Consider the following 24,943-nt stretch of genomic DNA (forward strand, 5'->3'; position numbering starts at 1 on the left):
ATCTTTTTCTTGGCTTTCCACTATGGGAACTCACTTTGGTTTTTGGAGGTAAATTCCAAGCAAGTGGGGCGGGGGCGGGGCCCTAAGTCTAGGTGCTAGGAGTTTCTCTCTCTCAAGCTAGTCCATAATCAGCCTCCGGCAATTTGTCAGAACTACTATTTAAGTGTTCCTACCAGTATATGACTCAGGCAACTCCTGTTTTAAATTTTTTTTTTTTTTTTTTTTTTTTTTTTTTTTTTGAGACTGAGCCTCACTCTGTTGCCCAGGCTAGAGTAGTGGTGTGATCTCGGCTCACTGCAACCTCTGTCTCCTGGGTTCAAGCGATCCTCCTGTCTCAGCCTCCCGAGTAACTGGGATTACAGGCGCCCACCACCATGCCCGGCTAATTTTTGTATTTTTGTAGACAGGGTTTCGACATGTTGGCCAGGCTGGTCTCAAACTCCTGACCTCAAGTGATCCACCCGCCTCAGCCTCCCAAAGTGCTGGGATTACAGGTGTGAGCCACTGCGCCCGTCCTGACTCATGCAACTTCTGCTTCAGGTAAGCAGATTTAGGCTGTTTATTCTGTGTTTACCTGTCTCTACATTTTGGGGTGGCAGTTTTTTTCCTGTGACTTTATCTGATGAGACTTAGGAAAGTCATTGATTTTTAGTTGGTTTAGCTTTTTTTTCCTTTTCTTTCTTCTTTTTTTTTTTTTTTTTTTTTTTTTGTTGAGACTGAGTCTCACTCTGTCGCCCAGGCTGGAGTGCGGCGGCGGGATCTCGGCTCACTGCAACCTCCGCCTCCTGGGTTCTATGGATTCTCCTGCCTCAACCTCCCAAGTAACTGGGACTACAGGCGCGCGCCACTGCACCCAGCTAAGCTTTTGTATTTTTAGTAGAGACGGGGTTTCACCATGTTGGCCAGATTGGTCTCGAATTCCTTGGCCAGACTGGACTCTAACTCCTGAACTCGTGATCCGCCCGCCTCAGCCTCCTATAGTGCTGGGATTACAGGAGTGAGCCACTGCGTCCAGCCAAGCTTTTTTTCTCTTGTGAGGGTTGCAGTAATGAGTCTCAAGCTCTTTACATGTTGGAACTAAAACTGGAAGTTCCTGGTATTCTTTTCTACTTCTGTAGTAATTCTCTTTCTTTGGAAATCACTTTCTCTGTCTGCCCAGCTAAGTCTCCATTTTTCAGGTTATGGGTGCACATTATGCCTTACGGTGGGAGGGGCAGAAGTACTGTCATGGGCTCCCTCTGCAATGGTGTTTGTCAGTGTTCTCTTCCTCCAGATTAGCTTCTTCTTTCCATTAAGTGAGAGGCTCTGGTAGACCTCAGGAATGAAGCAAAGCCTGTTCTGCTCCTACAGTGAGATAGCAAGGCAAAAGCTGCTGTGCAGTGTTCACATAGTATATATGGTAGAGTCCCTGTGTCTTTTGGCATTTTTGTTGCCAACTATCCTTTCTCTGCTTCTAAACTAGTAAAGCAGTTACTGTTCTGGTCCCAGCTTTACTAGAATATTTTTAGTCCCCATATCTTGGTGACCTTTGGTGGGGGAAGCGATTCCAAGTTAGATACAGGCAGTTTCTCTATGTGTAGACACACATTCCTATCTCCAGCACTCATCCATAGCAACTGGAGGAAATTCACTTCTATCCATTTTCCTTTAACCCCTGCATCCCAGTCACCCCTTTATTGCAATGCCCGAGGCTCTGGATCACTCCAGGCTGCTGCACTCTCTTAAATTCCAGGTAACTCTTTTGGGATATTTATGACTTTCATTTTCAGGGCTTTGGGACCTGGGAGAATGGTGTGAGTAAAGCCAGAGGGATCTGAGAAGACAGATACTTTACTCCTGCACTGGTGTCTCTAGATAATTTCCCAGCTGGCTCTCTCTGCCTGTGTAAACAAGCCTTGAGGATATGACCCTTGCCAACTCTTGTTAGCCACTCCTGTTTACATAGAGCTCTAAGTACATGCCCATGGAAATAGCTGCATATTCTTGAATGACTAAACTTGCTCATTTTTCTGTCCAGGTCATTTCTGCTATCCAGAAGCACAGCTCAGCTGAGAGTGAGGCACCAGAAGAATGCCTAAGAGTTTCCAAAAGTGATGATTTTTCTACCATTAATATATTATATGTTGGTAGTATGAAAGGAAAATAAATCTTGGAGCTTCAAAATCACTAGGCCAAATAGAAAAGTCAAGCTGGGAACTGCTTAGGGCAAACCTGCCTCCCATTCTATTCAAAGTCATCCCTCTGCTCACTGACATAAATGCCTATCTGATTGACTCCTTTGAAAAGGCTAATCAGAAACTCAAAAGAATGCAACAGGTTGTCCTTCACCAACCTGTGACCTGGAAGCCCCCTCCCTGCTTGAGTTGTCCTGCCTTTTCAGATGGAACCAATGTACATCTCACATTTATTGATTGATGTCTCATGTCTCTCTAAAATGTATACAACCAAGTTGTGCTCTGATCACCTTGGGCACATGTTGTCAGGACCTCCTGAGGCTGTCAGGGACACATGTCTTCAGCCTTGGTAAAATAAACTTTCTATATTATCTGAGATCTGTCTCAGATTTTCGGGGTTCAGACTAGACAGTTGTTAAGAAAATAACAAAAAGACATTAAAGACATAGCATAGTTGCATGTCCATTGAACTCAGAGAAATGAGTTTTTTAAAAAGGAAAAAACTCAGCTGGGCGCGGTGGCTCACACCTGTAATCCCAGGACTTCGGGAGGCCGAGGCAAGCAGATCATGAGGTCAAGAGTTTGAGACCATCCTGGCCAACATGGTGAAACCCTGCCTCTATTAAAAATACAAAAAATTAGCCGGGCGTTGTGGCAGGTGCCTGTAGTCCCGGCTACTTGGGAGGCTGAGGAAGGAGAATGGCGTGAACCCGGCAGGCGGAGCTTGTAGTGAGCCGAGATCACGCCACTGCACTCCAGCCTGGGCGACAGAGCGAGACTACCTCTCAAAAAAAAAAAAAAGAAAAAAAGAAAAATTAGCTGGACGTGGTGGCGCATGCCTGTAATCCCAGCTACTCAGGAGGCTGAGGTAGGAGAATCGAACCTGGGAGGCGGAGGTTGCGGTGAGCCAAGATCATGCCATTGCACTCCAGTCTGGGCGACAAGAACGAAACTCCATCTCAAAAAAACAAACAAACAAATAAAAAAAACCGGAAAAAACTCAAGTGAACAAAATGAATGATGAAAAATTGAATGTCATCCACACAGAACTGATGGGCTAAGGTAATATACACATCTCAACACATGCTTTAACAAATCTGTCTGATGCTTTACTATTGTAAATGAAAGAGTATCTGAGAAAACTCTCAATCAATTTAGGAAGTTTATTTTGCCAAGGTTAAGGATGCACCCATGACAGCCTCAGGAGGTCCTGACAACATGTACCCAAGGTGGTCAGGGCACAGCTTGGTTTTATACATTTGAGGGAGATGTGAGACATCAATCAATATATGTCCGCAAAGGCGGGACAGCTGAGTCCGGAAGGGGGTTTCCAGGTCATAGGTAGATAAAAGACAAACAGGTTGCATTAAGCAATAGGGCAAAGGAAGTAACCAGATATTCATTTATCTCACCTGAGCAAAGGGGTGACTTTGAGTTCTGTCTGGAGCTTTTTTTTTTTTTTTTTTTTTATCTTAGTAGCTGTCTTTTTTTGGAATAGAATGGGAGCCAGGTTTGCCCTAACCAGTTCTCAACCTGACTTTTCCCTTTGGCTTAGTGATTTTTGGGTCCCGAGATTTTCTTCCCTTTTACACTATCTAAATGTATTAGTTACCAATATTGAAATAAGGAAAAGAAATCTGAAAGTATTAGGTTGGTACAAAAGTAATTGCGGTTCTTGCTATTATAATACTTTTATTTATTTTGTTTATTTTTATTTTTTTATTTTTTGAGACAGAGTCTTGCTCTGACACCCAGGCTGGAGTGCAGTGGTGCGATCTCGGCTCACTGCAACCTCCGCCTCCCGGGTTCAAGCAATTCTCCTGCCTCAGCCTCCTGAGTAGCTGGGATTACAGGCGCATGCCACCATGCCCGGCTAATTTTTTTTTTTTTTTTTTGTAATTTTAGTAGAGACGGGGGTTTCACCATGTTAGCCAGGGTGGTCTCGAACTCCTGACCTTGTGATCCGCCCGCCTCAACCTCCCAAAGTTCTGGGATTACAGGTGTGAGCCACCACAGTTGGCTTTATAATACTTTTAATTTCAAAAGCCGCAATTACTTTTGCACTAACCTGATAGTAATTGACTCCCTTAAAAGTAGTCAAAGCATATTCCCAAGGTATTGGATGTGGATACATTTTTGTGGGAAAGTTGTTAAACTTCCAACAAGTTTATAATTGTCCTTGATCACCATGCATGAGTCAGATGGAGAGGGCAAAAATGAAAATTGTACCTTGTCAGGTGGTTTCCAAAGGTGGCACCTTTTATTATGTAATGTGCTCTACAGGAGGTAGACTAGGATTGTTTTGATGCATACAGCACAGAAAATGAATCTATCAACTTATATTCCTCATGAAAATGGAGCATGCTGTTTGTGGAGGCACAATGTGGGGTCATCCTGTGACCAAACGAGTGGCAACTCTTGTTCAAGTTTCCTCCTCGTTCGGTTTGATTTCAAGGTTACCTCAGTTTCAAAGCAGCCCTTTCTGTCCAGGGCACAAAACTCCTGATTTACTACTTACAACTAGTGGTTCTCAGCCTCAGATTCGCGTAAAAATTACCTGGAAGACTTTTCATTTTTAAATAATGTTACTGATATATATGTTATATGCAATAATATGCACCCATTTACTGTGCACAGTTTGATGAGTTTTGAAAAAGTTTTACCCCTTTTAAAGATTTAGAGCATTTCCAACACTCCCAAAAGTTCCCCAGGTCCTTTGTAGCCAACTTTTCTCAGCACCATCCACCTCTCCGCCACCCATCCTCCATCTCCTAGCGGGTGACATGGTACTTTGGTAGGTAGCACACAAGTGGATCGTTGGAGCTGAAGGATAATTCAAATTGGTAAACTGATTCGAGGGACCATGTGCAACCATGAAAGTGGTAGGAGAAGGGGAGTTGGGTGTTTAGCTGGCCTGGGAGGCAGGGAAGGTTAAAACAGGGCTTTTCAAACACAGCACTATTGATGTTTTGGAATGGATCATTCTTTGCTGTGGGAACTGTCCCATACATTGTAGAATGCTTAGCGGCATCTGTGACCTGTACCCACTAAGATGCCAGTAGCATTCCCCTAGTTAACAACCAAATATCTCTTCAGACATTGCCAAATGTGCCATCTAGTGCAAATCCTCCATTCTGCCCTCGAGAATCACTGGATTAAGAGCATTACCTTCTGTCCAGAGGCTCTAAAGGACTACACAGCTCATTTCACCTAGACGCTCCTTCCCCTTTTCTCTTCCTGACAGCCCCAAAAATTTCACTTTCATTTCTCAGGCAGTTCCTCCTCAGGAGGGAGGGACTTCTTCACACAGAGGAACCTCATTTGTTGAATGAATCCTGACCACACCCACCCTGGCTTTTCTTCACCTCTTCAACCAGGAGCCGAGATTTCTGTTGCTCTGAAGGTGTGTGGGGAGGTTTGTGGGGGGTAGAGGGTATGAGACTCCAGGAGAAAAGTTCTCAGTGAAGTTAGGGGAATTTGATTTATGGCCCCAAGTCTCCCCTGCTCTGTCGGGAGCAAAGGCTAGCTTGCAGGCTTCCTGCTTTGAGTGCACACTGATAGCAGCCTAGAGTCTGGGGAGGGACAGCCTTGAAAGCAGTGTTAAAGAGGCAGAAGGCCGCCTTTGTTTTCTGGGGTGTCTTTTTTTCCTCCAGGCTGAATCTATTTCCATTCCCTTCCTATTGTATAATTTTGATTTTCTACCTTGCAAAGGAAACAATTCTCTCTCTCTCTTTCTCTCTCTCAAAGAGATGAACAGAAGATCTCTTATTTTCCACCTCCTACTCCCTCCTCAAAAGAGAAGTTGGTGAAAGGAGGTCTCTGTTTTCCAAGTGTGTGCAGGGCTTAGCTCCTAGTATGTGGCGTCAGATAGAATGGAGCCATGGGAGCACGGCCAGGGGTTGAAGTGGGTTCTTTTGCTGCCCTCCTGGCAACCACTAAGGGGCTTTCTGTGGCCATCCTCACGTATTCTTAGTCCTTGGCCTCCCTGACAATAGCAGGTTGAGTGATGTGACTGCCGCACACCGCTCTGTTCCCTCTGTTCCTATGTCTTTCTGCAGGTCTCAGGGCTCTCCTTGCACATCCCTGAACATACCTGTTTACTTTTACTTCAGTAACCCATGTGCTACCAGCGTCTTCACCTGTCTCAGAACTTGCTCCTCATCATTCTTCCTCTTAGACACACCTTGGCATTGATTTGTAACCTCAATTTGTTATTGCTTTTCTTTGCTCACAATTACTTAACAGAAGTTGTTCATTGTGGGCTCAGAAGGAGCCCACGGATTTAATCTTCTTGTTAAGAATTTGATATAGAGTATGTCCTATCTTAAGCTCACTTGTGAGCAATTTGCACCTTGATTGATATGTTACAGATATTCTGACACATGCCATTCTGGCCTCTGCTCTCACCCTTCAGAGTTCACTGTAACTGCCATCCTGTGTCTCTGCCTTACTCCTGGGTAGAATCCATGTCTGCCTACATACTGACTGTCTCCCAGAGGCGTCTAGTCAGGCACAAGACCCAACATATGGGATAAAATTGATTATAAAGCAGGCTGCTAATGTAAAAACGTGCAATTAGCATCCATTTAACATTCAATAAATATGAAATATACGTGGAAGCCTACATCCAAATAGAAAGTGATCATAGACCATATCGATGAATGTTAGAGTACACAAGAAGATGACTAATACTATGGAGTAACATCTTCAAGAAGTTACATTAGGGTAATGACTCTGTAAAGACCTCATGAAGGCCTTGCAACTTTAAATAGTTTTTATGAAAGTTTTAAATAGTTTTCATTGTAAGAACACATTTGAGTAGAATCTTAAGAATGCGAGGAAATTAAAGGCTTTAATGGTTTTTCCCACGGGCTTAAAAGGAGAACAGTGTGGAAGATTAAGATGGGAGTGTGCCTGGAGAGGCATAAAAGGTGAGTTCTTACCAGGCGCGGTGGTTCACGCTTGTAATCCCAGCACTTAGGGAGGACAAGGCAGGAAGATCACCAGAGATCAGGAGTTCAAGACCAGCCTGGCCAATGTGGTGAAACTGTGTCTCTACTAAAAAAATGCAAAAATTAGCCGGGTGTGGTGGCGGATGCCTGTAGTCCCAGCTACTCGGGAGGCTGAGGCAGGAGAATCAGTTGAACCCAGGAGGTGGAGGTTGCAGTGAGCCAAGATCTCGCCATTGTACTCCAGCCTGGGGGAAAAGAGCAAGACTCTGTCTCAAAAAAAAAAAAAAATATGGTGAGCTCTGAGGATTGAGGCAGTGGGAAGGCATGTGTGATGTGGACCTAACTGGACCATTATGAAGTCTGGCCTCGCTCTGGGTGGCATGGGTTTGAACAGGAGAGTGACATGATTGACATCTGCTTTAAGGTGATCACTCTGTCTACTGATGTAAGAACAGAGATGAGAGCAGAGTGAAGAAGGACAGTGATGGGTGGGCACAGTAGCTCACACCTGTAATCCCAGCACTGTGGGAGGCCAAGGCGGGTGGATCACCTGAGGTGGATCATGAGTTTGAGACCAGCCTGGCCAACATGGTGAAACTCTCTCTACTAAAAATACAAAAATTAGCTGGGCGTTGTGGCAGGCACCTGTAATCCCAGCTACTCGGGAGGCTGAGGCAAGAGAAGCGCTTGAACCCAGCAAGCAGAGGTTGCAGTGAGCCGAGATCATGCCACCACACTCCAACCTGGGTAACAAGAGCAAAACTCCGTCTCAAAAAAAAAGGAAGGGCAATGATAGTATCAGCAAGACTAGTGGAAGAACAATTTCCTGAATTCAGGTGGTTTCTACCAGAGTGGTGGCAGTTGAGGTGGTTGGAAACTAATTTGAAAAAAAACTCTTTCAGCATATTCTCACGAAGTAACAGACAGAAAAAGACATTAGGGATTGCTTAATGAAAATGATTCTATGTTAAAAAATAGCTTTTTGGAGATATATTGACCAGAACACTACAGCTCTTGGGGAGAGAGTCATTAATGTGGTATAGATTGGGCCCTGGACTCTAAGGAGTAGCTGAAGCAAGAACTCAGTGCACAGAGGAATGGGGAGGAGATGCTACAATGTTTCTGAGCTCTCAGGGTCTCTGGATGTCAAAACAGGCTCTACTTTCCTTATTGGCAGTTTCTGACCAAGAATCCAGAAGAAGTGTCTAGGATATTGTCTAGAAACTTCAAAAGACATCCTCCCCTAAAAGTCACTCGTAGAGACACTCTAATTTTACTATCTACCTGCAGAGAGACTTAAAGTTTGCATTATCATATCCAGATGTTAGGAGTCCAGATGTTAGGAGAAGACTCAAATGAAGGGTATAATCACCTGGCAGCTATGGTAACCAGGTAACCTGGGAGTTCTGTCAGGCCAATGGCACTCATGTTCCCTTCTCTACCTCCCTGACTGCTGCTGGGCTTGAGCCACACTGGGAAGTGGTGGGGTCATTTCTCACACGTGGGACCGTGGTTACTCTGCACTTTTCTCATTCTTTTGCCATTATGGTGGCAGCAGCTTTGGCATCAACATGCATCCTCACTGTGAACATGAAGTCACAGCCCGTGGCAGAATGCATGTTCTACTACTTCCTCTCCTGGAGCCCCCCGGTATTTCTAACTATTGGTTGGATACTGATTGGAATAAAAGATAACAAAGAACCCCACATCTGTGGTTGGCTCATGGCTTTAGCCATAAACAGGGGTGAATATTATCATATCATATAAACTCCTTGTCTTACTAGTCATCAGATCCTGGTCTGACCAATGGTCATTGTAGCCAGGGGCTACCAGTATATCTCTTTTGTATGATTTTTAGTATCTGTACCATTGGCTGGATGACACTCGCCAGTCAACTTTCAGCTTTTTTTCCTCCTTAAGGTCTTTTGATGGATGGTTAGAGGAGTAGACAGGTCTCGAGGCCTAGGTTTATCTCCATACAGCTTTTATTGTACCCCATCCTTTTGCCAAGCGTGGGAAAGATTCCTAAGTTGTCACACATCACAGATCTTTCTTTCACTATCAAACCTGTTCAATTATATTAGTTTCCTAGCACTGTTGTAACCAATTATCACAAACTAGATGACTTAAAACAACAGGAATTTGTATCACAGCTCAGGAGCCCAGAAGTCCAAAACCAAGATGGCGGCAAAGTTGATTTTTTTTTTTCAGAAGGCTCTATGTGAAAATCGGTTCTATTCCTCTCTCCTAGCTTCTGGTGGTTTCTAGCAAACCTCGGCATTCTTTGGCTTATATCTGTGCTATTCCCATCTCTGCCTCTACTGTCACATGGCTTTCTTTCCCGTGTGTCTGTATGTCTTCTCCTCTTATAAAAACACAGGTCAAGGCCGGGTGCAGTGGCTCACACCTGTAATCCCAGCACTTTGGGAGGCCGAGACAGGTGGATCACCTGAGGTCAGGAGTTCAAGACCAGCATGGCCAACATGGTGAAACCCCGTCTCTACTAAAAATCTAAAAATTAGTTGGGCGTGGTGGCATACACCTGTAATCCCAGCTACTCAGGAGACTGAGGCAGGAGAATCGCTTGAACCTGGGAGGCGGGGGTTGCAGTGAGCTGAGATTGTACCATTGCATTCCAGCCTGGGCGACAGAGCGAAACTCCATCTCAAAAAAAAACAAAAACTACAGGTCATTGAATTTAGGGCCTGTCTTTATCCAGTATGACCTCATCTTAACTTGATTACACCTGCAAAGATGTGATTTTCAAATAAGTTCACATTCACATAAGTGAACAATTTTTGTGGAGGGTATAAATCTATCTACTAGAACAAGTATCAAAATGTTACTGCCTACTGAGAGCCACCCTTTTTCCCTTTGCCTCACAGTTTCTTGTCTAAACTGACCTCAGGTTCTGAGAATTGGCATTGTATCATCATGCCACTACTCTGTGGTACACCCTCTGGCTGACCACAAGCAATAATTGCAGGTTTGTTTTGCCATTTGCACTCATGCAGCTTAACTCCACAGGGGGAATACAGGACAGGAGATATAGCATGCAGACAGGGCCGCTTCAGGTGAGCTCTCCGTGAGGATTCTTTTGTTTTGTTTTGTTTTTTGAGACGGAGTCTCGCTCTGTCGCCCGGGCTGGAGTGCAGTGGTGCGATCTCGGCTCACTGGAAGCTCTGCCTCCCGGGTTCACGCCATTCTCCTGCCTTAGCCTCCCGAGTAGCTGGGACTACAGGCGCCCGCCGCCACCCCTGGCTAATTTTTGTATTTTTAGTAGAGATGGGGTTTCACCTTGTTAGCCAGGATGGTCTTGATCTCCTTACCTCGTGATCCGCCTGCCTCGGCCTCCCAAAGTGCTGAGATTACAGGGGTGAGCCACCGCGCCCGGCCTCAGTGAGGATTCTTACGGTGGTACAAGACCATGTGACCATGTGGATGCGTGTGAAACTAACGTAGCTTAGGTAAATCTTACATCAACGGATTGATTCCCTTGTAAAGACCATGAACATAGCTTCCAGGGCCCTACAGAGAATATTTTGTTACAAGAGTCTCAATCCTCTTACGGAAAATGAGGTCTGTGCTTACCAAAAAGAATAAAAATAAAATAATATACCAGGGGATGGTGATGGCGATGTGTTTTTTATAGGAAGAAAGGACTTAAGCCTAATGATAACCTTTTTTTCCCCCACATGTCTAGTCTGACTTCCAATCTTATTTCCTTTACCTTACCCTACTTCCCACCCTCATCTGCTTCTCTCTGTTAACTTGTCCTGCATCCTCCCATCCCTGCCCCCACCTCCTATTCATTGGAAAGAGACTGTCACTTTTACTTCATTTAGGAAGTGTCACATATCCAGGTTCCTCTAGGCTCATGTGAGGCCAAGGCCTAGGGCTTTTTGCATATCAGCCACACATTTAAAAACTTTCGAACATGTTATGATGCTATGTCCTCCATGAACGGGGCATTCACTTCCATGATTCCTTCTGCCTAAAATATTTGTTTTCTTTCTCATTCTGTATTCCTTTCTCATTATTCAGCTTTCATTAAACTCTTACTTATCCAAGCAAGATATCTTGGATAGTTCTCTATTTAGCACATTATTTGGTCTTCTAAAAACCTATACCTCTCTATGATGGTGTTTTTTACACCTACCATTTTACATTTTATGAATGATTATATAATTAGCTTCTATCTTCTTAGGTGACTGTTTACTTTATTCTGGCTAATACCATCTGTTCATTACTCAACTTTGGATTTTAATCCATTTCCTGAATTTTAATCACGGAAGATAATATGTCTTCAGTGAGAATTTCCAAAATAAACACATGAATAATTGGCATTCAATTAGTGGATGTGGATTTAACACAGACAGAACTTCATCGCTCCTAAATGTGGTCTCCCTTTATGTATTGGGACATCTCTCTCATGGCCAACAGCCATCTCCTTGCTATTTCTATTCCTCGATGATCTGACATTGGTATGAATCTGTGATCTATGTGTAATTCAGCTGGTTACACCCCTCCCCCAACGAATACACACCTTTGGGTTCCTATCAACCTCTGTAACATCCTTCAGGCCAAGAAGAAATCCTACCATCTACAAACACAAGACCCCCCCAGAAATTCCCAACTTATGTGGTTTCCTCCATTTCTACACTCTCATAACCCTGGATCCCAATCTACTTCTTTCAGGCTTTACCTCGGCTTTTCTTTGTTTAAATAAGTGGAGTAGCATGGAGACCTCTGAAAGAGAACTCTGAGGGTATTATGTTCACTCCAATTCTACCATCGAATTGGGTGATCTTTGTAAATCATTTAATTTTATTTATTCATCTGAAGAAAGGGAGTACTCTTATTTCTCAAGAATTTTGGAAGGAGGAACAAACAGGCCAAAGTGATTTTTAAATTGTAACTGGTAATGAAATCTCCATATTGTGGTCATTGCTGTTTCTGTCGGTATCTCTGGAAAGTCTGTGAGGGCATGGGAGGATTTTGTGTGGGTAGATGTGTTAGGAGGCGAGCACTTCTTCACTGGAAACCACATCTGGGGTTCTAAAGTTCAGCTATTGAAGAATTTCCAAATAATGGAAGGAAGATAATGAAACAATGATAAAGTTTTAGTCATCTGTGGAGAGACAGGGAAGTTTTTTTTATATGTTTATCAAACATTGTGCTTCTCTGTGTTCTAAACACTGAGGCTATAGCAGTAAAAAGACAAAAGTGCCTAATCTACATGTAGATTATGTTTTAGAAAGAAGAGGTGGACATTTAAAAATAGATAATGATAATAAAAGAAAGATGGCAAATGTACACTGAATGATGAGTTTGTGGTTGTGCTGTACTTAAGTTTGTCTTAGCAGCCCTTCTGATGAAGGGACATGTAAGGAGAAAGTTGAAAAAAGTATAAACGAAAGTCATGCAAATAGCAACAGGATGGTAATTCTAGGCTGAGTAATGAACAAGTGCAAAAGCCTTGAGGCATTAACAGCTCGCCCAGACCACTTTCAGCCATTTTTGGTTTCTCTTCCTCATCTTCTTTGTTCTTTGATATTGCAGTCTCGGCCAGTCTTTATTGTCTGTGCAATTAGAATGCTTTTTATTTGTACCATTCTTATACCATCCCCTTTCAATCTTCTCAGCCATCCAGGGGTCTTTAACCAGAAGAGAGAGGAGAGCCTCAGGAGTTAGGACCAGAAGAAGCCAGGGAAGCAGTGCAATGGCTTCAAAAATCTTGCTTAACGTACAAGAGGAGGTGACCTGTCCCATCTGCCTGGAGCTGTTGACAGAACCCTTGAGTCTAGACTGTGGCCACAGCCTCTGCCGAGCCTGCATCACTGTGAGCAACAAGGAGGCAGTGACCAGCATGGGAGGAAAAAGCAGCTGTCCTGTGTGTGGTATCAGTTACTCATTTGAACATCTACAGGCTAATCAGCATCTGGCCAACATAGTGGAGAGACTCAAGGAGGTCAAGTTGAGCCCAGACAATGGGAAGAAGAGAGATCTCTGTGATCATCATGGAGAGAAACTCCTACTCTTCTGTAAGGAGGATAGGAAAGTCATTTGCTGGCTTTGTGAGCGGTCTCAGGAGCACCGTGGTCACCACACAGTCCTCACGGAGGAAGTATTCAAGGAATGTCAGGTAGGGCCCTAGATGGAGGGAGATGGGGCAGAAGATGGTAGTTGGTGGAAAATCTCACCTTTTCATCCTTTTTTTTTTTTTTTTTTTTTTGAGACAGAGTCTCACTCTGTCGCCCAGGCTGGAGTGCAGTGGCGTGCTCTCGGCTCACTGCAACCTCTGCCCTCTGAGTTCAAGTAATTTTCCTGCCTCAGCCTCCCAAGTAGCTCGGATTACAGGCGCCTGCCACCGCGCCTGGCTAATTTTTTTTTTTTTTTTTTGGATTTTTAGTAGAGACGGGATTTCACCATCTTGGCCAGGCTGGTCTTGAACTCCTAATCTTGTGATCCACCCACCTCGGCCTCCCAAAGTGCTGGGATTACAGGTGTGAGCCACCATGCCCGGCCTTTTCTTTCTTTTTTTTTTTTTTTTTTTGTGAGCAATAAAGCTTTTTAATCACCTGGGTGCAGGCGGACTGAGTCTGAAAAAGGAGTCAGCCCTTTTCATCCTTCTTTACCCCCTGTGGAACCATAATTCTGAGTCCCGTGATCTTCTCCATGTACATCTTTCACACTGTGCTCAGCTTCCAATGCCTGGGGTACACTCTTGTGTATTCCTTTCATTTACATAACAGATGATCCTAGAGTACAGTCTCTTAGCCAAGAATGAGAAATTTTTGTCTTGTTTTTTCCTTTTTCATTGTATAAGTGATAAATTCCTTCCCAAAGTTAGCTCTCTTGCTTCTCTAAGCAGGATAATTGCTAAGGAACATTGTGGATTGAATGAGGAAAGAGCATTGATAAGAGGAAAGGACTTTCTGCAGGGTAAATACTTACTCTAAGGAAAGACAGAATCAGGCTACTCCTTTTGAGGGGTATTGATTTTCATCACAATGAATGAACAATACATTCATCTCCTCAAAATTTTCCCCATGTCATAGATTCTAATCACCAGCTTCACAGTTTCTGTAAATTGCTTTTTTCTGGGATCAACTTGATTTTTTCCCTGTTTGTCCTCTATCCAGATACTAAGAAAGCTTATAGCTTGACTGTAGTGTGATTCCCTTCTCATAGGAGAAACTCCAGGCAGTCCTCAAGAGGCTGAAGAAGGAAGAGGAGGAAGCTGAGAAGCTGGAAGCTGACATCAGAGAAGAGAAAACTTCCTGGAAGGCAAGAGGAGATTCTGAAGGTTTTCTGAGACAGGAATCTTGACAGGACCTTAATCCAAGGAGGCCTCGTCCTTTTTATTCCTTGACATTGCATGAGTCCTGAAGCCATTTGATTAGTTCTCTTCTCTGTCCTGTCCCTGTTGGGGGTGGAGGCTAGAAAGTGGACATGTTACAATTACACATACATACCTGGAACTGAGCACAAAGATAGACTCTATGATGAGGAAGGCTAGCAAATACTGTGTTCCATTGCTCTTTTCCAACGGGGCTCTACTACTTCTGGTGGAAGACACTACATAAAGGACTATGGTTTTCCTCAAGATTCAAATTAGGAGTGTGGTAAGGCAGGCAGTCATGAATATCCAGGAAAGCTATCTAGAAGCTAAGCCTTATGTTTTATATTTTGTCTCAGGGTTGGCCTAGATAAGACAGTTTGAGGTCATTGTTTTGGTAGGTACTGAAAGGAAAATAGTAGGAAAAAATAGCTTCCCTCCAAGTACCTCTATTGCTTCTACTCCCTTGCTGATTTGAACTCCCTGAAAAAAAAAATCGATATATAGATAATACAAATATATATATACAGATAATATAAATACACACACACACACACACACACACACACACACACACACATATATATATATATATATTTCCCTACTGGCTCCTAATCCCTTGCACAATAGGCCTTAGCCTGACAAACTTACTACAACTCTCTCTTGTCCATCCTTGCAGTATCAGGTACAAACTGAGAGACAAAGGATACAAACAGAATTTGATCAGCTTAGAAGCATCCTAAATAATGAGGAGCAGAGAGAGCTGCAAAGATTGGAAGAAGAAGAAAAGAAGACGCTGGATAAGTTTGCAGAGGCTGAGGATGAGCTAGTTCAGCAGAAGCAGTTGGTGAGAGAGCTCATCTCAGATGTGGAGTGTCGGAGTCAGTGGTCAACAATGGAGCTGCTGCAGGTAAGAAGGTTCGCTCAATCTGAGATTCTGGGAACACAGTTCCCTCCTGTGTCCTTGCGTTCTCATCCTGGTGGTGACACTAAGGGGTTTCTTTGGCCTTGCAGTGCCGCCTTGTCGTCCATTCTAGATGTCATGGACATGAATGACATTTTTATTAATTTATGAAGTAAGGGAATACATTTTACCTTGCAGAAAAGATCCATTATATCTAGTTATAGTCTCTAGGCCCCTATTATATGTGATCTAGTGTCAAGCATTCATCAGACTTCTCTTTACTCTGGTTAGTCACAGGTAAACACATGCATTTTCAGGTTTAAGAGCATACACATTTAAGAAATGTGTTCTATTTAAGTTTAAAATATGCTTATTTGTTATGCAAATGTTCCCTGTTAATTTTTTTTTTTTTTTTTTTGAGACGGAGTCTCGCTCTGTCTCCCAGGCTGGAGTGCAGTGGTGCGATCTCGGCTCACTGCAAGCTCCGCCTCCCAGGTTCACGCCATTCTCCTGCCCAGCATCCCGAGTAGCTGGGACTACAGGCACCCACCACCACGTCTGGCTAATTTTTTTTGTATTTTTAGTAAACATGGGGTTTCACCGTGCTAGCCAGTATGGTATTAATCTCCTGACCTCGTGGTCCGCCTGCCTCGGCCTTCCAAAATGCTGGGATTACAGGCCTGACCCACCGCACCCAGCCCCCTGTTACTTTTTTTTAAACATAAAGTGATAGAATATTGAGCCTTTTGGGGAGAAAGATGGACAAATATATAGACAGACAGTGCTCTCCTTTCTTTGCTGAATTTCCAAATATTTCCTTTTTAAGATTTGGAACGAAGCAGGAGAGTAACTGATTTTCATTTGTTGAATTGTTTGCTTTGTCTCTGGTGCTTATATCCCAGCTTTTTTTAAATTCCTTTTTCCTTTTGTCTTCTTTTTTTGTTTAAATTTAAGATTACTCTGGAACAGAGGTTCCTAAACGTATTTTACACTCATTAGTATGGCTATAATAAAAAAAGATGGACAATACCAAGTGTTTGGGAAGATGTGAAGAAATTGAAACCTTCTTGAATTGCTAGTAGAGATGTAAAATAGTAAAGCTACTTAGGAAAAACTGCTTGGCAGTTGCTCAGAAATGTAAAGAGAGTTCTCATGTGGCCTAGCCATTCCATTCCTACCTATATACCTAGAAGAACTGAATACATATATTTGTGCATAAACTTATATATGAAAGTTCACAGCAGTATTGTTCATAAATAAAACAACTCGTATCTCCTTAAACTGATGATTGGATAAGCAAAATGTGTTATATCCAAACAATGTAATATTGTTTAGCTGTGAAAAATAATGAATTAATAATACATGCTATGACATGGATGCACCTTGAAAACATTATAATTGAAAGAAGGCAAACACAAGTTCTTTTTTGTATGATTCCATTTATATGAAAGTCTGTAAGTAGCAAATCCGTAATATAGAAACTAGATTAGTGGTTGCCAGAGCTCTGGGGAAGAATAGGAAGTAATTGCTAATTAGTGTACAATTTCTATTTGTAGTGATGAAAATGATCTGGATTTACTGTGCAATGACGGTTGCACTACATCGTGAATATTTTAAAGCCTGTTAAATTGTGCACTGTAAAGGGCAAATCTTATGGTATTTGAACTACATCTCAGTAAAAACAAAAACAAAAAGGTTCCGTAGGCCCTTTTTTATGGTTCTTCCTTAAGCTCTTCACAACCCTTTGAATCGCCACCTTCACAAAAGAACACTGTGTTTATGTCATTTGTCCAGGCATTTGTCCTATTTCAGTCAGTCTTAGTTGCTATTTGGTCACTTGGAATTTAAAAAAATATTGGTAGATCAAAAATTATAAATGCTGTGGGATTAACATTTCACTTCTAGATGTTAGCTTCAAAGAATGGCAAATGGAAAACTTAGGAACTTATTCTTTTATCTGAGTAGGGACTTTGGCTATTCCTCTCCAATATGTTAAGATATAATCTGTTGGCGGGGCGCGGTGGCTCACGCCTGTAATCCCAGCACTTTGGGAGGCCGAGGTGGGTGGATCACGAGGTCAGGAGATCGAGATCATCCTGGCTAACACAGTGAAACCCCGTCTCTACTAAAAATACAAAAAATTAGCCGGGCATTTTATAATATACAAAAAATTAGCTGGTGATGGCGGCTGCCTGTAGTCCCAGCTACTCAGGAGGCTGAGGCAGGAGAATGGTGTGAACCCAGGAGGCGGAGCTTGCAGTGAGCCAAGATGGCGCCACTGCACTCCAGCCTGGGCGACAGAGCGAGACTCAGTCTAAAAAAAAAAGATATGTGCTGTTGTATTTGTGGTATGTCTCCTCCACAATCCCATCTCCTGAGAGTCCCTGTAACAGCTTTCTTTCTATATGGATTCTCATGATGGCGATCGGGATGGATGGTGTTATCATATATCCATTGTTTGTTTGCTAGAGGGACTGATACTCATTTCGTAAGAGCTGCATTCAACACTTACTGCCAAAGAACGATCTAGACAGAAAGACGCTCAACTTGAAAACTGATGCAAAAATTAGATGAGATTTTAGGTTGTTTCCCTTATAAAGGAGATACTTTGATTTTTAATGCTTTCTGTAATAGTTTTATTATATTTGGCCATTTTTATTTTTGAAAGGATGGAATGGTAGGTAGCTAAATGAGGGAAAGAAGATGGCAGTTACTATTATTTAAAATTTTTTTTCCAGGTTTCTTAAAATTTTAGATTCAGGGGGCACATTCAATTCCATGGCATTTAGTACATTCAGATTGCTGTGCAACCATTAAGTGGGATCCCTCTCTGGACTTTTTCACCATCCCAAACTGAAACTGTACCCATTAAAAAACAGCTCCCCATTCCCTTTGGTCACCACTGCTCTACTTTGATAACCACTATTCTACTTTCTGTCTCTATGACTTTGCCTATTCTAAGTACCTCATGTAAGTGGAATCATAGAATATTTGTCCTACAGGTTTCTTATAAGGGTCTGTTGCATAATGCTAGGGTTTGGGCTACATGGTACTCATTATTTTTGTTTCGTCAATATCCATTCCCCATTTTTCTGGTAATAACACCTGGAATTACTCTTGCAAGAAAGACTAGCATGTCTATTTCCATCCTTGTACTTGTTTAGACCTGAGAAAATCAGCACTATCAAGAATGAATGAGTTAATTATATGTAAATCAGCGTATCCAATCCTTACATCCCTACCAGCCACACAGTGATTATTTTAAGTTGGACATCTGACCCAATCCTGAATGCTTGTGGGTGACAAAATTGTACTGTCATTGCAGTGAAGGGAAGTTCTCCTTTTTAGCAGAAAATAATATCAGTGAAGATAATTCAAATAAAGAGATTCAAGTTGCTATCAACTAAAATCTGAGAATACAGTCAAAATATAGGGAAGAAATGAGAATTAATAGGCACAGAGAGGCCAGAATTGTGACAGAGGTTTGAGCTTCCAGAGCCATCTGTGACTAAAGTAATACCTCTCTGGCCACAACCCTTACTTTCTTCCCAGTTAAGGCAATTTTAGTTGTTGAACAACAAAACTATGCTAATACAGAGAGCAAAACCATTTATTTGGTTGTACACCAGCTGGTGTCATGAAAGAGTTAAAGCCAAATATATTGGTACATCTTGCTCAAAACAAATTAACCCACAGTGGTGATGATGGGGGAATGCAGATGACTAACAGAAGTTAAGGATGGACTGGCTTGATAAAATGTTTTAGTGTCTGGGACAGGGACTGAGTGAATATTGATACCAGTTTGACAATACGGCATAAGAAAGGAAACAATATGGCTGGAGAACAGCTTATGTTTTAGATATTCTTAGTTACTGGTGCCGTTTTTTCTTCTTTGTGGAATGTAGTATTGTACCTGTACAGAATGAAGTCTAGCTGCTTTTTTTCACAGTCCAATGAGATGCAGACAGACTTGGAAAAGAAGGGAGTTTATTTTTGCAACTGGTTACAGGGAGAAGGTCAGAGTAACTATCAGACCAACTCAGAGTTACAAAGTTTTTTTTTTCTGGTGCTTATATACATTTTAAGCTCTATGCCTTCACGTGGGAGTGCACCTACATGCAGGAGTGTTTCAATCTATATCTATCTTTAACTAGGGTCTGGGGTCTAGAAAGCTTTCTCTAGAGTCTTGGAAAGTTTCTTAATCTTAAATGGGCCCTGGTACAAGTTGTATGTCTAAGAATGCTTTTATTATTCGATCAGACTTTAAGGTATGAGAAAACCCAGGCAGGGTCTTTAAAGGGTTTGTTTTCACATTTCAGCCCTGGTACTCACTCAGGCACCAGCTTTTCCAGTTCTTTAATGTTTAACTTACGCATTCATCAAAATTATAGTAAAGGGTTAAGGGAAACTGATTGTTCTGGTTGCTAATGGAAACCTGACCTGCCACAGTATTATAGAAACATGATTACAGACAAAAGACAATGATTAGATATAAAGGTTGACAAAAAACAGCACCTATGTGTGAGCTAAAATTAAGATTGGAGGCCAGGCGCGGTGGCTCACACCTGTAATCCCAGCACTTTGGGAGACCGAAGAGGGCGGATCATGAGGTCAGGAGATCAAGACCATCTTGGCTAACACAGTGAAACCCCGTCTCTACTAAAAATATTAAAAATTAGCCGGGCATGGTGGCACGTACCTGTAGTCCCAGGTACTTGGGAGGCTGAGGCAGAAGAATCGCTTGAACCGGGGAGGTGGAGGTTGCAGCGAGCCAAGTTCGCACCACTGCACTCCAGCCTGGGTGACAGAGTGAGACTCTATTTCAAAAAAAAAAAAAAAAAAAAAAAAAAAAGATTGGAAGAGGTTGCCTATAGGCGGTGGATAGAACAGGACTTTTCTGACTGTACATAAGACTATGTCATCTGTAAAAAGAGAGAGATTTACTATTTTCTTTCCAATATAGAAGCTTTTTTAAAAATTAGTTTTTATTGGTACTTAATAAGTATACATATTTATAGGGTACATAGATTTTGGCACAGGTATACAATGCATAATAATTACATCAGTACATCAGAGTAAATGATGTATCCATCACCTCAAGCATTTATCATTTGTTTGTGTTGCCAACATTCAGATTATACTATTTTAATTATTTTAAATGCATAATAAATTATTGTTGACTATAGTCACACTGTTGTGGTATCAAATACTAAATCTTATTCATTCTATCTAACTGCCAACATAGAGCCTTTTATTTGTTTTCTGTGACTAACTGCCCTGACTAGAACCTCCAATACCATGTTAAATAGAAGTAGTGAGAGCAAACATCCTTGTCTTTTCTGATCTTCGGGAAAAAGCATTCAGTTTTTCACCACAAAGTATGATGTTAGCTGTAGGTTTTTCATAGATGTGTTTTATCAGGCTGAGGGACCTCTCTTCTATTCCAAGTTTGTTACCATTCCTGTTTTGTTTTGTTTTTTTTATGAAAGTGTGCTGAATTTTGCTGAATGCTTTTTTTCATGTCTATTGAGATCATCATGTGGTTTTCATCCTTTATTTTATTAATATGGTATATTACATCAATTGATTTTTTTTTATGTTGAACCAACCTTGCATTTCTGGGATAAATTCTACTTGGCCATCAGGTATAATCTTTTTGCTGGATTGCCAGATTTGATTTTCTTGTATTTTTGTTGAAGAATTTTGTATTTATATTTATAAGAGATATTGGTCTATGGTTTTCTTTTCTTGTGATGTCTTTGGTTCTTTTATCAGGGTCCTTTATCAGGGTAGGATGAGCCTCATGTAATCAATTAGGAAGTGTTCCCTGCTCTTCTTTATTTTTGAAATAACTTATGAAGTTTTGATATTATTTCTTTTTAAACCTTTAGCAGAATTAGCCAGTGAAGCCATCTGGGTGAGGCCTTTTCTCTGTAGGAAGTCTTTGAATTCCAACTTAATCTCTTAACATGTTTTAGGCCTATTCATATTTTCTATGCGTTCTTTAATGTGTATTGATAGTTTCTGTATTTCTAGGAATTTGTCTGTTTCATTAAGATTATCTAATTTGTTGGCATACAGTTGCTCATTTTATAATCCTTTTAATTTCCTTAAGGTCAGTAGTAATATCCCATCTTTCATTCCTGATTTTTTTTCTTGGTGTGTCTAGCTAAATGTTTGCCAATTTTGTTGACATTTTCATATAACTCACTTCTGATTTTTCCATTTTTTTTCCTACTGTTCTTCTTTCTTTCATTAGTCTTACACCAGTCTTTATACACTTTGACTCATGTTTTCTCTTTTCTTTCTAGGACATGAGTGGAATCATGAAATGGTGCGTATGGGTGGCCAGGAGTGGTGCTTGTGAGTTATAAAGAAGTGTTTGTAGCTATTAGAGTTATTTGGTGGTCAATTGGAATAAAAAATCTCCCAGAGTAGTAAAATTTGGATGTATCGTTATCTTAAATTGCTGGTCCCCGATGAGTATTTGAGTGTTCCGTAACTATTAATGGACTCGATCCTATGTTAGTAAATTCAGTGGTTGAAGTTCAGAGCTACAGCCAAAAAGGATATTAAGGATGAGAGCTTTTACTGTCAGACTTCGGTGACTTCACTCATTTAATTCATCCTCTGTCCCTGCATCCAGCCCTGGATCTTTTATTTTATATGTGTTTGTCATACACATGGAGGGCCTTGTCAAATCCTAAAATAGGGCATGGAGACAGCTTCTTTATATGTACTTTGCTTACTTAGAAATAGAAGGTACCGGATCATTATGCAAGGTTCTCTTTAGATTTCCAAAAGTAGACTCGAGCCTCAGGACGGTAGCTGTGACTCTGGTGATGATAATTAATCTCTGCCAGTTCACACACTTTAGAAGCTCCTATGGAAAAGTGTAGTCCTTGTTCCTTGTGTCTACCATTGCCAACCCACTTGGAAACATCAAGTTTCTTACAAAGACATAAAATTCTAACCATTTTTAGTTAGGTTGTCATAACTTCTCCTTTGCCGAGTGTTCGTGTTTCCCAGGAATCTGAAATCTCAAATATGCGCCATTCCACTGGAGTTCAGGCTTTGAACTCGGGCACAGGCTGACAGGATTTCCCTACAGAGCCCCGTATCACAGTCAGGATCTACAGCTCAGAATACCACATCTCTGGCCCCTCCCAGAAGGCCCACTGAGATGCAGTGAGTTTTCCACATATCACATACCATTTCTACAGGTAGCAAAGTCTTTTCCTATCGTTTTATCCAATTTTTTATTATTTCCATTAGATATCAAAGGAGGGTTTAATTATTTCATTTTTAAGGAAGAAACTGTGCTTTCAAGAAATGAAGACCTTCTCAAGGTCACCCAGAGGATAAGAGGGAAAGTAGACACAGTCACATTTCTTCTGGATCCAGGGTCCGGCTCTCCCTTCTCCCCCTCCTCAGGCTCAGGGAGAAGGGTTCAAGTGCATCAGTGATGTGAAGGAGATGAAACCAGTGATGTGGGAGGGATGGACACAGGATGAGAGATGTGGGGGTCAAAAAATTTTTTTCATCCCTAGGAGTGAGATCTGGAGGCTGAAAAAGCCAAAAATGGTTTCCAAGAAACTGAAGACTGTATTCCATGCTCCAGATCTGAGTAGGATGCTGCAAATGTTTAGAGGTGAGGAGAAGCAGACAAAGACTGTGGATGTGGGATTGTTGTGGTGTCAGGTAATAAACTGTCTAGGTGGGATAACTTAAAATTGAGGACAGAAGAGAGGAGGGAGGTCAGAGAATAAGGAATATTCTGTGGTGAAGAGGATGCATTTATATGTAAGGAAAAATGGCTAGGTCTCTGGTTTATCTTTTTAATTCACTAGCTCACAGCTTCATGGTATTCCCTTCCCCTGTCCCTACTCTAAAGAATATATAGGTATCAGTGCTTACTCCTTTGTTTCTAATCAGCATCACTGAATCTTTTATTATTTCAGAACTGACAGCTGTCCGGTGCTACTGGGGTAAGAAAAAGTTAGTCTTTAAATAACTGTTTTCCAATTACCTTTCAGAAGTTTATGGTTTCAATGATATCTTCTGATCTTAGCCTCATGCATTCTCAGCACCTCCCAAAACATTTGCTAAATACATTTCTCCAGTGTTTTACCCCTCCAATTCATCAGTGCAAGTTTTTCAGTCACTTCCCAAGTTCGTTCATCACCATGTCACTAGATAAACCTACTCCATATCTGTCACCTAATCATATATATCACACAGATGATTATATTCATATACATATATATATATTTTTTTTTTTCTTGCAGTGGATGTCACACTGAATTCAGTCAACCTAAATTTGAATCTTGTCCTTTCAGAAGATCAGAGACAAGTGATATCTGTGCCAATTTGGCCTTTTCAGTGTTATAATTATGGTGTCTTGGGATCCCAATATTTCTCCTCTGGGAAACATTACTGGGAAGTGGACGTGTCCAAGAAAACTGCCTGGATCCTGGGGGTATACTGTAGAACATATTCCCGCCATATGAAGTATGTTGTTAGAAGATGTGCAAATCGTCAAAATCTTTACACCAAATACAGACCTCTATTTGGCTACTGGGTTATAGGGTTACAGAATAAATGTAAGTATGGTGTCTTTGAAGAGTCTTTGTCCTCTGATCCCGAGGTTTTGACTCTCTCCATGGCTGTGCCTCCCTGCCGTGTTGGGGTTTTCCTCGACTATGAAGCAGGCATTGTCTCATTTTTCAATGTCACAAGCCATGGCTCCCTCATTTACAAGTTCTCTAAATGTTGCTTTTCTCAGCCTGTTTATCCATATTTCAATCCTTGGAACTGTCCAGCTCCCATGACTCTATGCCCACCAAGCTCTTGAATTTTCTCATTTCTTCACCTACAACCCTTTGTCTTGACTTATCTCCTGCAACTGACTCATCTGCAACATTCACACCATTGCTTCCTTGTGGTTTCCCTTCTTTAGAACTTTTACTCATCCTTGAGATGTATGGTGTATTTGGCTTGAGTTATGAGAGATGCTTATTTATTCATTTACTCTTTTTCATATTTTCAGAGAAAGTTACCTAATCCCTCCTAAAGACACAGCAGTATGGGTATAACATCCTTGCCTTCCCATTTATCCATGTTTCACTTTATCACTGATATGAAGAGGCCCAAAGCCTGTTAGCCACCATCCATGCTACCTAGGTAGTCCATAGGAACCACCCCCATGACCACCACCAACATCAACTAAAGGTTCTTGGAGGGTATGTCAGTGTGTTGCTCAGGATACCCCAGGTACATCAAGGAATCAAGGAGAGGAAAATATGAGCAATATGTGTATTCAGAGTGAAGATTTTATGTCCAGAGTATTTGAGCTCAAACCTTGCCTGTTGTTTTCTAATCATGATGAATACTTTCTCAGTTTCTTTTTCCTGAAATATAAATTGGGATTTAAGACTGTACCTAACTATTAAGATCACTGTGTAAAACTAAGTGTCTCTAAATGTAATGCATCGATTTAGTGTCTGGAACATAATAAATATTTGCTCTCATGATTGCTAAAAAGTGTGAGCTGTAGTAATGTCCTGTGCAA

The 24,943-nt window shown here is 41.6% G+C and overlaps 3 protein-coding genes across 8 annotated transcripts in view, besides 5 other annotated features; 2 read left to right on the forward strand and 1 right to left on the reverse strand.

The window, feature by feature from the left end:
- Nucleotides 1–24,915, forward strand: part of TRIM6-TRIM34 (TRIM6-TRIM34 readthrough) — a 47,762-nt gene extending 22,847 nt beyond the window's left edge. Inside the window, exons 8-14 of the mRNA NM_001003819.4 lie at nucleotides 12,772–13,271; nucleotides 14,321–14,416; nucleotides 15,148–15,378; nucleotides 21,684–21,706; nucleotides 22,923–23,023; nucleotides 23,334–23,360; nucleotides 23,661–24,915. Coding sequence (NP_001003819.1) covers nucleotides 12,772–13,271; nucleotides 14,321–14,416; nucleotides 15,148–15,378; nucleotides 21,684–21,706; nucleotides 22,923–23,023; nucleotides 23,334–23,360; nucleotides 23,661–24,226 — 1,544 coding nt within the window. The 3' untranslated portion in view covers nucleotides 24,227–24,915. The remainder of the gene's footprint in view (nucleotides 1–12,771; nucleotides 13,272–14,320; nucleotides 14,417–15,147; nucleotides 15,379–21,683; nucleotides 21,707–22,922; nucleotides 23,024–23,333; nucleotides 23,361–23,660) is intronic.
- Nucleotides 1–24,943, reverse strand: part of TRIM5 (tripartite motif containing 5) — a 96,440-nt gene that overhangs the window by 30,849 nt on the left and 40,648 nt on the right. The gene's annotated exons all lie outside the window — the stretch shown is intronic.
- Nucleotides 461–24,915, forward strand: TRIM34 (tripartite motif containing 34). 3 transcript variants are annotated; one of them, NM_001003827.1, is made up of 8 exons: nucleotides 461–540; nucleotides 12,772–13,271; nucleotides 14,321–14,416; nucleotides 15,148–15,378; nucleotides 21,684–21,706; nucleotides 22,923–23,023; nucleotides 23,334–23,360; nucleotides 23,661–24,915. In NM_001003827.1, exons 2-8 carry the CDS (start codon nucleotides 12,849–12,851, stop codon nucleotides 24,224–24,226), a joined length of 1,467 nt encoding a protein of 488 aa, NP_001003827.1. In that variant the 5' UTR covers nucleotides 461–540; nucleotides 12,772–12,848; the 3' UTR covers nucleotides 24,227–24,915. The 3 variants fall into 3 exon arrangements, with proteins under 3 accessions (NP_001003827.1, NP_067629.2, NP_569074.2); NM_021616.6 differs by lacking the exon at nucleotides 461–540 and adding an exon at nucleotides 5,518–5,577; NM_130390.2 differs by lacking the exons at nucleotides 461–540; nucleotides 22,923–23,023; nucleotides 23,334–23,360; nucleotides 23,661–24,915 and having other exon boundaries at nucleotides 21,684–21,815.
- Nucleotides 1,950–2,558: an enhancer, noted in NCBI's record as "NANOG hESC enhancer chr11:5642663-5643271 (GRCh37/hg19 assembly coordinates)". NCBI's record gives its function as "activates a minimal SCP1, AML or CMV promoter by ChIP-STARR-seq in naive H9 embryonic stem cells {active_cell/tissue: H9 hESC(naive)}" and the evidence as "EXISTENCE:reporter gene assay evidence [ECO:0000049][PMID:30033119]".
- Nucleotides 5,127–5,206: an enhancer, noted in NCBI's record as "active region_4327". NCBI's record gives its function as "activates an Ori minimal core promoter by ATAC-STARR-seq in GM12878 lymphoblastoid cells {active_cell/tissue: GM12878}" and the evidence as "EXISTENCE:reporter gene assay evidence [ECO:0000049][PMID:35858748]".
- Nucleotides 5,297–5,566: an enhancer, noted in NCBI's record as "active region_4328". NCBI's record gives its function as "activates an Ori minimal core promoter by ATAC-STARR-seq in GM12878 lymphoblastoid cells {active_cell/tissue: GM12878}" and the evidence as "EXISTENCE:reporter gene assay evidence [ECO:0000049][PMID:35858748]".
- Nucleotides 5,937–6,036: an enhancer, noted in NCBI's record as "active region_4329". NCBI's record gives its function as "activates an Ori minimal core promoter by ATAC-STARR-seq in GM12878 lymphoblastoid cells {active_cell/tissue: GM12878}" and the evidence as "EXISTENCE:reporter gene assay evidence [ECO:0000049][PMID:35858748]".
- Nucleotides 12,694–12,933: an enhancer, noted in NCBI's record as "active region_4330". NCBI's record gives its function as "activates an Ori minimal core promoter by ATAC-STARR-seq in GM12878 lymphoblastoid cells {active_cell/tissue: GM12878}" and the evidence as "EXISTENCE:reporter gene assay evidence [ECO:0000049][PMID:35858748]".

The sequence above is a fragment of the Homo sapiens genome, chromosome 11 (genome assembly GCF_000001405.40).
Source record: "Homo sapiens chromosome 11, GRCh38.p14 Primary Assembly".
NCBI classification, from domain to species: domain Eukaryota; kingdom Metazoa; phylum Chordata; class Mammalia; order Primates; family Hominidae; genus Homo; species Homo sapiens.